The 14,749-nt window shown below is 34.8% G+C and overlaps 1 protein-coding gene and 1 long non-coding RNA gene across 5 annotated transcripts in view; one reads left to right on the plus strand and one right to left on the minus strand.

The window, feature by feature from the left end:
* Positions 1–14,749, plus strand: part of PRKG1 (protein kinase cGMP-dependent 1) — a 1,307,463-nt gene that overhangs the window by 1,197,330 nt on the left and 95,384 nt on the right. The window lies entirely within an intron of this gene.
* LOC124902425 (uncharacterized) overlaps positions 8,818–14,749 on the minus strand; it is a 56,483-nt gene continuing 50,551 nt past the window's right edge. Inside the window, exon 2 of the long non-coding RNA XR_007062145.1 lies at positions 8,818–9,502. This is a non-coding gene — a long non-coding RNA (uncharacterized LOC124902425). The remainder of the gene's footprint in view (positions 9,503–14,749) is intronic.

Below are 14,749 nucleotides of genomic sequence, written 5' to 3' on the forward strand. Positions count from 1 at the left end.
ATATATACATATGTATATATATACATATATATGTGTATATATATACATATGTATATATATACATATATATGTGTATATATATATGTATATATATACATATGTATATATATACACATATATATATATATTTCTTTTTGTTTGATTTTTTTGAGATGGGGTCTCAGTCTGTTGCCCAGGCTAGAGTGTGGTGGCATGATCATAGCTCATTGGAGCCTCAACTATCTGAGGCCAAGTGATCCTCCGACCTCACTCAGGCTTCCAAGTAGCTGGAACCACAGGCATGTGCCACCATGCCTGGCTAATTTATAAAATATATCTTAATGTGCATTGGAATAAAAAAAAGTTTGGAAACCATAATGAATGAATATAAATGTCTCCCTCCCAATTCATTTACACTATTCATTATAATTTTAATTTCTTTTTAAAGAAACAGATGATTTCTATTGTGTGCACTGAATAGTTAGACTTACATTATGGCTACAGATTGCCTCCTCATTAGCCAATTGATTACCTTAAAAATGTGTGCAGTTGAATCCAAAGAGCAGAAGAAAATAATGTAAGAGAGACAAGGTGCACATCTTTCAATATAAGCACATATCAATCTAGTAATGTACTGGTAGTATTATCTCCATATTCAAAGAACAGTACATCATTATTGTGTGGAATTAATTATGAAAACACTTAAAGAAATTCCAATATGTCAGACATGTACCAGGCACAGAGAATACGAAACCCAAGTTCTGTTCTCTCCTCTTTAGAAACTTAAAATCTAATAAGAAATATGGCATTTATATTGTTTATTGTGAGGTTATTTAATAAGAAGGAAAATATGCAATGTTATTTGAGCAATAGAAGGGGCATCTATATCAGTCTAAGAGTTTTTGTCAATTTTTATCAAAATACTTTTCTGTATAAAGAAAATTTATAGGAATGTCTTGAGCCAAGGAAGGATATCATTCATGTAGATTTGTTTGCAAGTATCTATCGATTCTGTTACTTGTAGCATTATAAGATGTGTTGCTGATAAAATTGTGATAAAAGTGTGGTTTAAAACTTTCCTTTTACTTCGCAATCCTTCCCCACTTCTCCTGCAGGTATATGTTTGTGAACTGAGGAGGCTGATAAGGTCAAGAGTTCCACTCATTCATCCCAGACCAGGGGTTCCCAATCACCAGGCCATGGACTGCTCCATGGCCTGTTAGGCACCTGGACACAAAGCAGGAAGTGAGCAGTAGACAAGCGAGCATTACTACCTGAGCTCTGCCCCCTGTCAGATCCGCGGCATTAGATTCTCATAGGAAAGCAAACCCTATTGTGAAATGCACATACAAGGGATCTAGCTTGGGCACTCCTTATGAGAATCTAATGTCTGATAATATGAGGTGGTACAGTTTCATCCTGAAACCATTTATCCCACCCTCAATCCATGGGAAAATTGTCTTCTACAAAACCAGTCCCTGATGCCAAAAAGGTTGGGGACTGCTGCCCTAGACCCCTCATGCTCTGGTGGATTTATTTCCATTGCCAGTTATCAAATTAGTTGATTTTGAACCTACTACATTTTAAAAGAATGATACTGATCAGGTTGTAATATTTGCATTCTGTTTACAGATGCAAGGAAAGCAAAAAGTAGATTTATCCTGCCATTGAGGGCTGTTGTCAGCTTTTTAGAGCCACATCTTTAATAATGAGTATTCTCATTTATATCCTTAAGCTGCTCTTTAGAATTTGAAAGCATTGATAATCCTATAATCATCACAGATGCTAATCAATGCAGGTTTATCTGTGTATTTATTGGAGACATAGTATCTATTTGCTATAAAATATAGGATAAGCCCCTGCTTATGAAAACTCTTAACCAGAAAGCTCAAATAGTCCAAATTAGTTTTGTGACAGTGGATACTGGTAACAGTGAGGAGGAGGAAAATCATCAGGAGCCCATAAATTTTTAAGCAATAGAATGAAATTTTATGTGTATTCAGTACTTCATTCTTTCAAAATTGACAATTGAGCTCTACAACTTTTACAAAATAAATACCAGTAATTAAAATGCTCAAGTAATTGAAATGACACAAATCCCAAAGAATATGGAAAATTCAAATGTATTCTGTTAAAACAGAATACATTATTATTAATGAGGCAGACAAATGCATTCAAAAGCATTTTGTTAAAGGTTAAAATTCTGTTAAATAAAACATAGTCCCATTTTACTTACATTTTTAATAAATATGAATATGGTGATAATGACAATAATGGGTAACACTTGTTGGGCCCTTAGTACGTGTCAAGCATGAATTACCTGATTTAATCCTAACAACTCTATTAGAAAAATATTCTTATTTTACCTGATTTTACAGATTCAGAAATTGAGGCCTATGGAGGTTTAAGTCTATGTCACACAACTTGTAAATGGTACAGTGGAGATTAACTCTGACTACCAGATGTCTATTGCCAAAGCCCATTTGTGCACTTTTAGATACTTAACTGTTTCACATGTATGTTTGCATAAGATACTTTTGTAAACCTTGTTATTATGAAAATTGTCAAGCAGAGAAAGTGGTGCAATGGACCCCTTCCCTTAAGATTCAACATTTACCAACCTTTTGCCACAACTGCTTTGTCGAGTTCTTTAAAAAAAAATTTACTGATATATTTTAAAACAAACCAGTGAAAGATCATATTATTTCCTCCCAAATACATCCTTCTATATGTATCTTCTAAAACTACTGACACTTTCCTACATAATCACAATATTATTATCACACTTAACAAAATGAGTAGTCATTTTTCAATTTTCCTCAATTTTCTCAAACACCTCGCTTTTAAAGTTGATTTGTTTGATTCAGGATCAAAAGAATCTGCATACACTGTATGTTGGTTATGTCTCTTTAGGCCTCCTTTAATCTAGAGGAGTCTCCCTACCCTACGATAGTCCTATTAGGCATTTTGTTTTGTTGAGACAGTCTCGCTCTGTCGCCAAGGCTGGAGTGCAGTGTCCTGATCATGCTCACTGCAGCCTAGACCTACTGGGCTCAAGGTATCATTCTCCCACCTGCCGAGTAGCTGGGAGGGCAGGAACACAGCAGGAGTGGCAGGAGCCATGCTCCAGCTATTTTTTTTTTTTTTTTCTTACAGAGATGGGGTTTTGCCATGTTGCCTAGGCTGTTTTCAAACTTCTGGTCTCAAGCAATCCACCCGCCTTGGCCTCCCAAAGTGCTGGGATTACAGGCATGAGCCACTGAACATGGCCTGGGTTGTTAAAGAAACTGAATCATTTGTCCTGGTGTAAATCCACTCTTCCAGATTATCCTATTGCTTTTTAATCATCTACGTTCCTCTTGATAGCCTTTGTAAAGGTTCATTAAACCTACATGATTGATTAGACTTGTTTTCTACTTTTTGGGCAAGAAGATTTCGTAGGAGGTTTATTAAACTTCAATATTAGATTATAATAAAAGGCCAATAGTGCTTGGTCATTTCACTTGCAGCTACATGAAGTTGGATCAGTGAATTAAGAGATAACAATGTAATCCTTTTCCTACAAAGTTTTCAATCAATATTTTGTTAAATGTTTTAGTACACAATGATGATGATTGCCTGAATCAGCTATCTCATTAGGTTTTTAATAGAATTATTATCCAATTTATTTTTTTCTTTGTATTTATTCCATCTATTAATTGGAATTCTTCTCTGAAAAGCTTTTCCCATATCAGTTAGGAATCTGATATACTGTTTATCCTCATTCATTCAAGACAAGCATGATAAATGCTGTTTATTCTTTCCTATTAATTATCAATTTTCAGAGTAAGTAATTGGAGCACCAATTGGTGCTTTTGGTGACAAATCAGATTTTTAAAATTTTGCACATTTAAATTTTTTCCACATTTTTTGGTATTATGAATTTGTGGATTTTTATATATTCAATATGTTGAGTCAATTTCTTTCTGGGAGCCTCTTTAGGTTGGTTCCTTGTTTCTTCTTGATACAGCCTGTTAGTTGCCAGTAACTCCCTTGTTTTCTAGACAGTAAGATGCCCAAGGTTTTTCATGTACATTTCCTCCCCTGGACCTAAGATCAGCCATTTCTCAAGTAACCCTTATTTCTTTTAGCCAGAAATGGTACTAAGTAAGTATGGTCACTGCTATTGGCTTTCTTTGTTTCTAGACATTTTTAGGAGGAAGAAGTTCAGATAATAATTTTTTAAAATAAATATATTATTTAACTCACAGTATGCTCTACCTAATCTTGCAGTATTCCCATTTTATTCTAAGGGAGTAGCATATTAAGTTACAAACTACATGTATGATTCTTCAAGAAAGAATTTTTCATCAAGCGTTTTAGATTGATATTCTCAATTTCCACCTATGTTCATAAAGTCAAAGGGACTTTTTATTATTTTAGGAGGAAGTCAAGGATAAGAACTTTGCTTATGCAACTAATTGAATTAATCTTTTTCCAGATATCAATAAATATCACAGCCTCCACAGAATTGGTAACTTTCTAAGATATTAAGTATTTATATAAAAAGAAAAAAAATATATATTTGTTTGGATGTATAACTTAGTTTGCATTAGAAATTCCTTTCTTATATTAGAATTTAAGGAGATAGAAACCTCATTTGTGAGTTTTAAAAAACATAGTAAGCTGTAGATTTTTTTTTCACCCAAGCAATTTCCATGTAAGACAGTTGAGGCAAAAGGCTTTACAATATCCATGTCACTCTACTTCTATTAATTTTCGTCTTTGTTAAGACCTTAATTTCATTGCTGGGGTCTCTTCCCTTTGGCCTATAATATTTTTAGTTGGCAGGAAGTGCAGTAGTTAAGAGTGACTGCTACTGAGTTCTCCTAGAGCAACAAAGGCTCTAGTTTTCTCAGCCATTTGCCCAAATCTCAATCTTCATAGAGGAAATATTAAAGGAAAAATATGGCACCTTAGAAATTGTCCATTGTGGGAAAAGCAACAGGAAGCTTTTTTCTCTCTGAAAACCTATACATTTTACTTAACCATTTGACTCAAACATCTTAGAACTATTCTAAATGTCGGGCCGGGCGCAGTGGTTCATGCCTGTAATCCCAGCACTTTGGGAAGCAGAGACGGGTGGATCACCTGAGGTCAGGAGTTTGAGACCAGCCTGGCCAAACATGGTGAAACTCCATCTCTACTAAAAATACAAAAAAATTAGCCACGCATGGTGGCAGGTGCCTGTAATACTAGCTACTTGGGAGGCTGAGGCAGGAGAATCGCTTGAACCCAGGAGGTGGAGGTTGCAGTGAGCTGAGATTGCACTAGTGCACTCCAGCCTGAACAAAAAGAGTGAGACTCTGTCTCAAAAAAAAAAAAAACAAAAAAAAAAAACAAAAAAAAAACTATTCCAAATGTCATTTAACACTGTGGATTTTTATTAACTAGGATCTTTATTTCAAAGGACAGCCTACATTTCAAGTAAGTAATAACTACCTTGTTTAACAAACAACATCAACAAATAACTTAAAACATATACAAAGAAAGCAAAAGGCAAATCTTCCTTTTTAGAAGCAAGTACTATAACCAGTTTCCTCTGGATCCCTTCAGAGATTCAAATACAATTAACTTGTATTTAAGTTAAAATTGGTTGCTTTTTTAAAATGTATGATTTTTAGAGGAGCAGAATGTGGGAAGTAAACAATAATTTGGACGAAACTCCAAGTAGATTTTATAAGATTTCTCTAAATCCCTTTATGTGCATTGAATAATTATTTTTCTATTTTAAATGTCTATCTAAAAGGTAGCTATTTTGTCTCTTATATTTGGTAAAGATCAAAATGTATGTATTAAGAATGTAATAAATAACTAGTTCTTTTTAAAGATTTTTTATTTTGTTGTTTTATTTTACATGATAACAGAAAATTCAAACAGTACAATAAAAAATAAAGAAGAAAACAAAACACCCCCAAGACTCACCACCAATAACTAGTTCTTAACAGAAATTGCTAAGTTCTATTAGCTGGAAACATAATTTCCTGTTTTTGAAGATCGACTATTATTCTATATCATTTATTAGGCCACTGCACATATTCTTATCTGTCTAAATAATTGAAGCTCCTAATAAAAAACAACCCTGTCAACTTAGACCTAAATGGAGGTGTTTTACCATTTTATTCTTTCTCCACAGTTTCCATGGAAACATGACGGTTATGACAATGCAGGAAGGGAGAATGATGACTGTTATTCAAAGATAAAAATGATCACAGAACTAAATACTTAGGATTAGTAAGAACTTAAAAAGCACCCTGGAATTAGTATTTGAGTTATTTAAGTAGTGAAGAGAAAATTAAATACATATTCACCATGTAAGGTAAAACACAGCTAATGTTTTCTCGCTAAAGTTTCCGTTTATGTGGCCTTTGTCTCTGGTTTTAACAATGTGAAGCTAAATACCAGAACAGTGTTTGATCAATGAAGTTCAATATTTAAAAAATAGAAAGTAAATTTCAATTTAGCTATCAATGCTAAGAAATTTGAAAAATAATCTTTTTTCCTGTAATGTTTTACCTATTGACAATATTAAAGCACAATAAAAAGCTATATCCAGGTAATGACATTTTCATTTAAAAAATGAAATGTAGCACAATTAACTGTCCCAAAGCATCAGCCACTTGCATCAAGGTAATAAAACAGAACCTTTTACTATCTGAGCTAATTAGTATGAAATAATTAGGGAGACCACCTGAGGGCTTCCCTTACAGTGACACTTGCTGTATTGAATTACTATGGTCTTATCCACCTCAAATTGAACTCTGAGAAAGTACCAGTTTAACACTTAAGTTAAATGCCTGAGAGATATTTTACTGAAATGAATGTTTAGATGGTTTTGTGATGAGAAAGAAATAGATCACATCATTTGGTAAACTAGTGTTTTTGGCATAACTCCTATATAAATGAAAATGGAAAGAGAGATGTATGCAAAATGGAATGTCCAGAAAACTCAAAGTGAGCTGGTTTAATGCCACTGCTTTTCATGTTTCCTGTTTTTGTTTTTTTTTTTCTCTTTAGCTCGAATAATATTAGTTTGTTTAGAAGACAACTAGCACCAAAATGAAGGTGTTGCTTTTGAGCATAGCTACCCATTTTATATATTTATTAACCAAAACTATATCTATAATCAAAGAGCATGCATAAGATATCAACCAGCATTCTTAGTGATGTTGGTCCTAATAATTTTGTTAGTTGGATTTTTCTCTAAGTAGCAGAATTAGAATTGGTTGATGATCCAAGTCTCTGTCTAAACTTCTTGATCTTCTTTTCAACCTATAAATACAGATAGAGTTTATCAATGTGTGCTGGGTTCATTATATTACTGGAAGATTGCAAAACACAAGCGTGTTTTTAAAAACCTGCCATTCTTATTTACAACTCTTCAAAATTAAGCTAAGGCTTTTAAATTTGTTAATTTTTATTTACTTTAGTGATCACTTATAAGTAATACCTCACATTTTTAAGCCCATTCTTACTGACTTCAAATTTTAGAGTGTCCGAATGACAATCAGTTTTTAATTTTAATTAAATATTTTTATCAATTTTGAATTAATTATATTTATGGATTAATTATCCTAATGGAATCATTTAAATCAAAAACTTATAGTCAGATATTTGCCAAGAACATTTTGTGTTAAAATATATGAATTGGATATAGTCAGGAAAAAGTCTAACCCTATGATTTTCATGGTTCAAATGAGAACTGAAAAAATGGAAATTGATCCCAATTAGTGATGTGTGTAATGGTTGATTAAACATGCAAAAAAATGTTTTTTGTTTTTTGTTTTTTTTTCCTGAGATGGAGTCTCGCTCTGTTGCCCAGGTTGGAGTGCAGTGGCACGATCTCGGCTCACTGCAAGCTCCGCCTCCTGGGTTCATGCCATTCTCCCACCTCAGCCCCCCGAGTAGCTGGGACTACAGGCACCCGCCACCACGCCTGGCTAATTTTTTTTGGTATTTTTTAGTAGAGACGGGGTTTCACCATGTTAGCCAGGATGGTCTCGATCTCCTGACCTCATGATCCGCCCTCCTCAGCCTCCCAAAGTCCTGGGATTACAGGCGTGAGCCACCGCGCCAGGCCAAGAAATTCTTTAAGGATCATACTTGAGTCTTGTCTTTGTTAACACCTTAATTACCTAAAAGATGCATTCAAGAAATCTATAATTCAAAATGTAGGTGTTATTCCCTGGGAAGTATTGCAAACACATGAGAGGAAAAGAATGCACAAAATGGAGCAAGTTGGAAAGGAAATTAATTAAAACATAAATTAGAAAAGCAAGGCTCACCAGCTTGCACCGTAGTCGTCTGAAACTCATATATTTACCAACAACGAAAGATACTCATTTTGGTTAGATGAAAGCAGGAGGTTTGGGAATTATCTAAGGAGACTCCAGGGTGTGTGTTAGCTAGTAAATTAGAGGTGAACTTGCTAATGCAGCATTATACTGCAGCAGAAGTAGAGCTGGTATTATTGGGGATTTGTGGGCAGATAGGATCTATTAGAAGTAGATAATAATTATATAAATAAAACTTCCCTGGGTGAAGGATTCTCAAAATATTTTATATTATAAAATCCATATTTCAAAACCTCTTTGAAATAAGTTATTATGATAGTGTCATGCTGAATAAATCTACTATGATTGTATACTAATTATGATATAGACATTAACTAAATAGTAGAAAGTGCTATTTAGTGTAGCAGTATCTCTAAATCTGTGTTCATCTTAGACAATACTTTAGGCAATAATAATAATAGTAGCCACAATAGTAATAGCAAATGTGATGGAGATGCTCACTTTGTGCAGGTTCACTACAATTTTATTAGGAAAACACTTGTAGGTTTCCATTTTATAAAGGATGAAGCAGATACAGATAAGTTTTTTTTTCCAGCTTTTGTCTGGACATTCAGATTTTTTTGTGTATTTCCTCGTAAAGTTAAGTAATCAGTGTTAGATCTCAGAGTTCTAAATTGAACCTTGCTTCATGAGATAATCTCTAAAGATGCAAAAGAATTGGATCCCTTCATACATTCCACCCCAGCATGAGAAATGAGCTCATGTTGGACTTCAAACATAGGCTGGATAAAAATAAGTAAACATGTCAACTGAGGACAAGATTATACCAAGTGATTCTACTGCTTGTTGTTTCAAAGCACGTTTTGATATAATCGGAATGATATCAAGAGAATAGAAACATTTACTTATGACAAGTGTTATGTCCTTGTGAAGACTATAGAACAAGCTTCATCTGGTATAAGAAAAACTCCGAGGTATAGGTCACAATGCTGCACATGAAGCCACCATAAAACGGAGACACTGACATGTTTATTCTGGCTGTTTTCCTTGCTAAATCACAGTCCCACATGGTTAGTCTGTTTGAAAACTTTGAGTAAGTCTTCGAATAGCAGCGTGGTCACACTGGGTCAGTATACTTCACTTACACAACTTCAGAGGTGAGAGAGATCTCCAAGTCCAGCTCCTTCATTCTGTAGAAGAGGAAACTCTTAGTTATTCTAGAGATGTGGACTTAGTCATCTTAATACCAGACTTTATGGAGACTTAAGAAATATGGCTTTTGAATATTACTATATTCATGGATGAAATATAGTACAAGTACAAAACTTCTTCCTGCTAGTGACAGGTACTCTGGGATGTTTAATATGCCTTTTCTGGTCACTAGGGTACCATTTAGAGCAGTGAAGCAGTTGATTTACAATATGGTGCACAGAGGAATGTCTCAGAGCTCCCTTTTACCCACTGGGAGGACACAAAGTAGCATTATTTCATTACTCATGGCAGTTCATCTTTGAGTATGATTCTATTCACATAATGCTGACAGAAAAATACAAACACAATGTTATAAATGTTCAAATAGTTTATTATATTTTGCCTAATGTATTTGTGTGACTGAGCTTCTTCATCGTTTTCCACATAGATACTCATTAAAAGTTGAACATCTGTAGTATATGGTTTCGAGAAACTAAATTTGAAAATTGCATCTCTTAAGGGTATAATTACTTGACTTAATTGGCATGCAGTTTGATAAATATTTGTTCTGTGGAAAGAAATAATTTGTTTGAGAACTTCATTGGTGACTGATAGACATAGTTTTTATGACTTAGCATCCTGTAATTGAGCCAAAGAAATTGTGTTTACAATGGCATACGCAGTGTAATCTAACTCAAGAGAAAGGAAAAATAGTAATTTTGTAATGGCCGAGAATGACTTCAGGAAGGAAGAAACAATGAGCAAATAGAATCAGGAAAAACTATAATAATTAGAATGATAATAAAAGTAGTAATGACATTATATTAGTTTTCTGTGATTAATGTGACAAATTGCCACAAAATGGGTGGTTTAAAATAACAGAAATTTATTCTCTCACACGTCTGGAGCCCAGAATTCCTACATTCCTGTCACAGGGCCCAATCAAGATATCAGAAGCACACTTCTTCTGTAGGTTCTGGAGGAGAATCAAGTTCTCTCCTCTTCAGATTCTGGTGGCTACTGGCATTCCGTGGTTTGTGGTTGCGTCACTCCAATCTTTATCTCTGTCTTTACCTTTCCTTTTGGGGTGTGAGTGTGTGTGTGTGTGTGTGTGCATGTGTGTGTAAGCTCACTCTGTTTCCTTTTCTTAAGCATACTTGAGATAGTATTTAGGGTCTATTTACAGGTTCCAGGAATTAGGACCATCTTTGGGGAACCATTTTTCAGACTGCCACAGAGAAGTTAACTGGCTATGTTAGCACTGCGTATCATGGCCACTTTTGCCTTTCAGACTGCAGAGAATGCTACTTTGAACACACCCAAGATGACATTTGATGAAGGATGAGATTGGATTCCAACCATCCTTGCTCTTTCTTTTTTTTTCCCGATTCTGTTTCAATGTAAGGTTTTTCTTCCTAGGCTCAATGTAGAGAGCATATTCTTTAAAGTTTTCAGGTATCTTTCCTCACCTTCTAACCCTGACATTTTGACCTAGGCATTTCTTTTAAAGACTACTAGGTACTTAATGTATTATCCTCCCTATCGTATTATCCTCCACTCATAGATGAGTGAAGATTCTCCTTGTTCTCTTGGAGAGAAAAAGAAAACCAGTAGAAATTGCTGAACTCCACATCCCCCTGAATCAAACACATCTTCACTCAAAGATCATACTTGCTATGTATTCTAACCAGACCTCCTAAATTGGCTGCCCTGGGTTAGAAAATTCCAAAAGGCCACTGACCACTCTCAGCATTACCCATGGAATAACTGTGTTTGTTTATATTTTAGGGAAAATTCCCAAAGAATGTATTCACTATCTTCTCATAACTATTATCTGCAGAGATCTTCATGCTGAGACCTAACGCTTCCATAAATAAGAGGTTCAGCTTTGCCGGAGCCCTACAGGAAGAGGTTATGAAATACTGGGAACTTCTCGAATTTCCCAACCCAAAGCCCCCTCCCTGGATTTACTCCGTGACCCCAGTGCAGATATTTCTCCCTCCAAATAAACGTACCTCACATGCATAAGGGAGATTCCGCAGGTCCTTTTTAAGGATGCAGACCTTGGGAAGCAGCAAAGTATTTGTGCTAGGACAACCAGTGGAGCAGTTACCAACTCTTTCTCCTACACATCCCTAAAAGCTTTGTAAAATTTATAAGATCATGAAAGAGTAATGTGGACTAATGAATATACCTTTTCAGGACAATTTGTTGGAATTGAACACTTGGTTTGTGCCAGGCACTGAGCTAAGCATTTTATTTCTATTCTTTCATTTAATCCCTTGAGTTAGGGTCTCCTCATTATTATTATCCTCATTTTCTTGTTTTTGTTATATTTTGTTTGTTTTTAACTTTTAGTTGCGGGAGTACATGTGCAAGTTTGTTATGTAGGTAAATTGGATTGTGGGCGTTTGATGTACAAATTATTTCATCACCCAAGTAATAACCATAGTATCTAACAGACAGTTTTGCAATCCTCACCCTCGTCCCACCCTCCACTATCAAACAGGCCCTGGTGTCTATTGTTCCCTTCTTGGTGTTCATGTATACTTGGTGTTTAGCTGCTACTTATAAATGATAACAGGCAGTATTTGGTTTTCTGTTCCTGCCTTAGTTCGCTTAGGATAATGGCCTCCAGCTCTATCTTTGCTGTTGCAAAGGACATGATCTCATTCTTTTTATGGCTGCATAATATTCCATAGTGTATACATACCACATTTTCTTTATCCAGTTTACCATTGACAGGCATTTAGGTTGGTTCCATGTCTTTGCTATTGTGAATGGTGCTGCTGTGATCATATGTGTGCATATGTCTTTATGGTAGAACAATTTATATTCCTTTGGGTATATACTCAATAATGGATTTCTGGGTTGAACAGTAGTTCTGCTTTAAGTTCTTTGAGAAATTATCAGACTGCTTTCAGCAATGGCTTAACTAATTAACATTCCCACTAGCAGCGTGTAAGTGTTCCCTTTTCACCACAACCTCACCAGCATGTTATTTTTTGACTTTTTAGTAATAGCCATTCTGACTCGTGTGAAATGATATCTCATTGTGATTTAGATTTGCATTTCTCTAATAATTAATGATGTTGAGCATTTTTTTCTTATGCTTGTTGGCTGCATGCATGTCTCTTTTGAAAAGTATCTGGTCATGTCCTTTGCCCACTGTTTAATGAGGTTGTATTTTACTTGTTAATTTGTTTAAATTCCTTATAGATTCTAGATATTAGCTCTTTGTTAGATGTATAGTTTGCAAATATTTTCTTCCATTCTGTAGGTTATCTGTTTACTCTATTGATAGTTTCTTTTGCTTTGCAGAAACTCTTTAGTTGAATTACGTCCCATTTGCCAGCTTTTGTTTTTGTTGCAATTACTTTTGGTGCCTTCGTTATGAAATCTTTGCCAGTGCCTATGTCCAGAATGGTATTTCCTAGGTTATCTTCAAAGGTTTTCATACTTCCATGCTTTGCATTTAAGTATTTAATCCATCTTGAGTTGATTTTTGTATATAGTATAAGGAAGGGGTACAGTTTCAATCATCTGCATATAGCTAGCCAGTTATTCCAGCACTATTTATTAAATATAGAGTCCTTTCTCCATTGATTGTTTACATTCACGTTGTCGAAGATCAAATGTTTATAGGTGTGCAGCTTTATTTCTGGGCTTTTATTCCATTCTATTTGTTTATTTGTCTGTTTTTGTACTAGCACCATGCTGTTTTGGTTACTGGATCCTGTAGTATAGTTTGAAGTCAAGTACTGTAATGCTTCTAAGTTTGTTCTTTTTGCTTAGGATTGATGTAGCTACTGGGCTTTTTTTGGCTCCACATGAATTTTAGAATAGTTTTTTTCCTAATGCTGTGAAGAATATCATTGGTAGTTTGATAGTAATAATACCGAATCTGCAAATTGCTTTAGGCAGTATGGCCATTTTAATAATATTAATTCTGCCTATTTATGAGCATGTAATATTTTTTCATTTCTTTATGTCATCTGTGATTTCTTTCGGCAGTGTTGTGTAATTCACTTTGTAGAGATCTTTCACCTCCCTGACTAGATGTATTCCTAGGTATTTTATTTTTTGTGTGGGTGGCTACTGTGAATGGGATTGCATTCTTGATTTGGCACTCAGCTTGAATGTTGTTGTTATAGAAATGCAACTGATATATGTGCATTGATTTTGTGTCCTGAAACTTTGCTGAAGTTGTTTTTCAGATCTAGGAGCTTTCAGGTAGAGACTATGAAGTTTTATAGACGTAAAATCATATTGTCTGCAAACAGAGATAGTTTGACTTCCTCTCTTCCTATTTGGATGCCTTTCATTTTTTTTTTCTTGCCTGACTGCTCTGGCTATGAATTCCAGTACTATGTTGAATAGGAGTGGTGAGAATTAGCATCTTTGTCTTGTTCCAGTTCTCAAGGGGAATGCTTCCAGGTTTGGCTTATTCTTTAAGATGCTGTCATAGGTGGCTTTTATTATTTTGAAGTATGTTCCTTCAATGCCTGGTTTGTCAAGGGTTTTTAACATGAAGGGATATTGAATTTTATCAAAAATCCTTTTTGGCATCTACTGATAAGGTCTTATGGTTTTCGTTTTTAATTCCACTTATGTGATGAATCACATTTATTGATTTGTATATACTGAACTATCCTTGCATCCCCGTGATAAAGCCTACTTGATCATGGTGGATTAGCTTTTTGATGTGCTGCTGGTATTTTGTTGAAAATTTTTACATCTATGTTCATCAAGGATATTGGCCTGGTGATTTCTTTTTTGGTTGTGTCTCTGCTAGATTTTGGTATCAGAATGATGCTAGCCCCATAGAATGAGTTAGGGAACAGTCCCTCCTCCTCAATTCTTTGGAATAGTTTCCACAGGAATGGTACCACTTCTTCTTTATATATCTTATAGAATTTGACTGTCAATCCACCTGGGCTTTTTTTTTTGGTTAATGGGCTTTTTATTACTGATTTAATTTTGGAATATATTATGACCTGTTTAGGGTTTCGGTATCTTCCTCATTCAATCTTGAGAAGTGGTAAGTTTCCAAGAGTTTATCCATTTCTTGTAGCTTTTCTAGTTTGTTTGCATAGAGGTGTTATAATAGTCTCTGAGGTTTTTGTATTTTTGTGGAGTCAGTGGCATTGTCCCCTTTATCATTTCTGATTGTGTTTATTTGGATCTTCTCTCTCTTTTCTCTAGCTAGTGGTCTATCATTCTTATTTATTCTTTCAAAGAACTAA

Source organism: Homo sapiens, chromosome 10 (assembly GCF_000001405.40).
Source record: "Homo sapiens chromosome 10, GRCh38.p14 Primary Assembly".
NCBI lineage: Eukaryota > Metazoa > Chordata > Mammalia > Primates > Hominidae > Homo > Homo sapiens.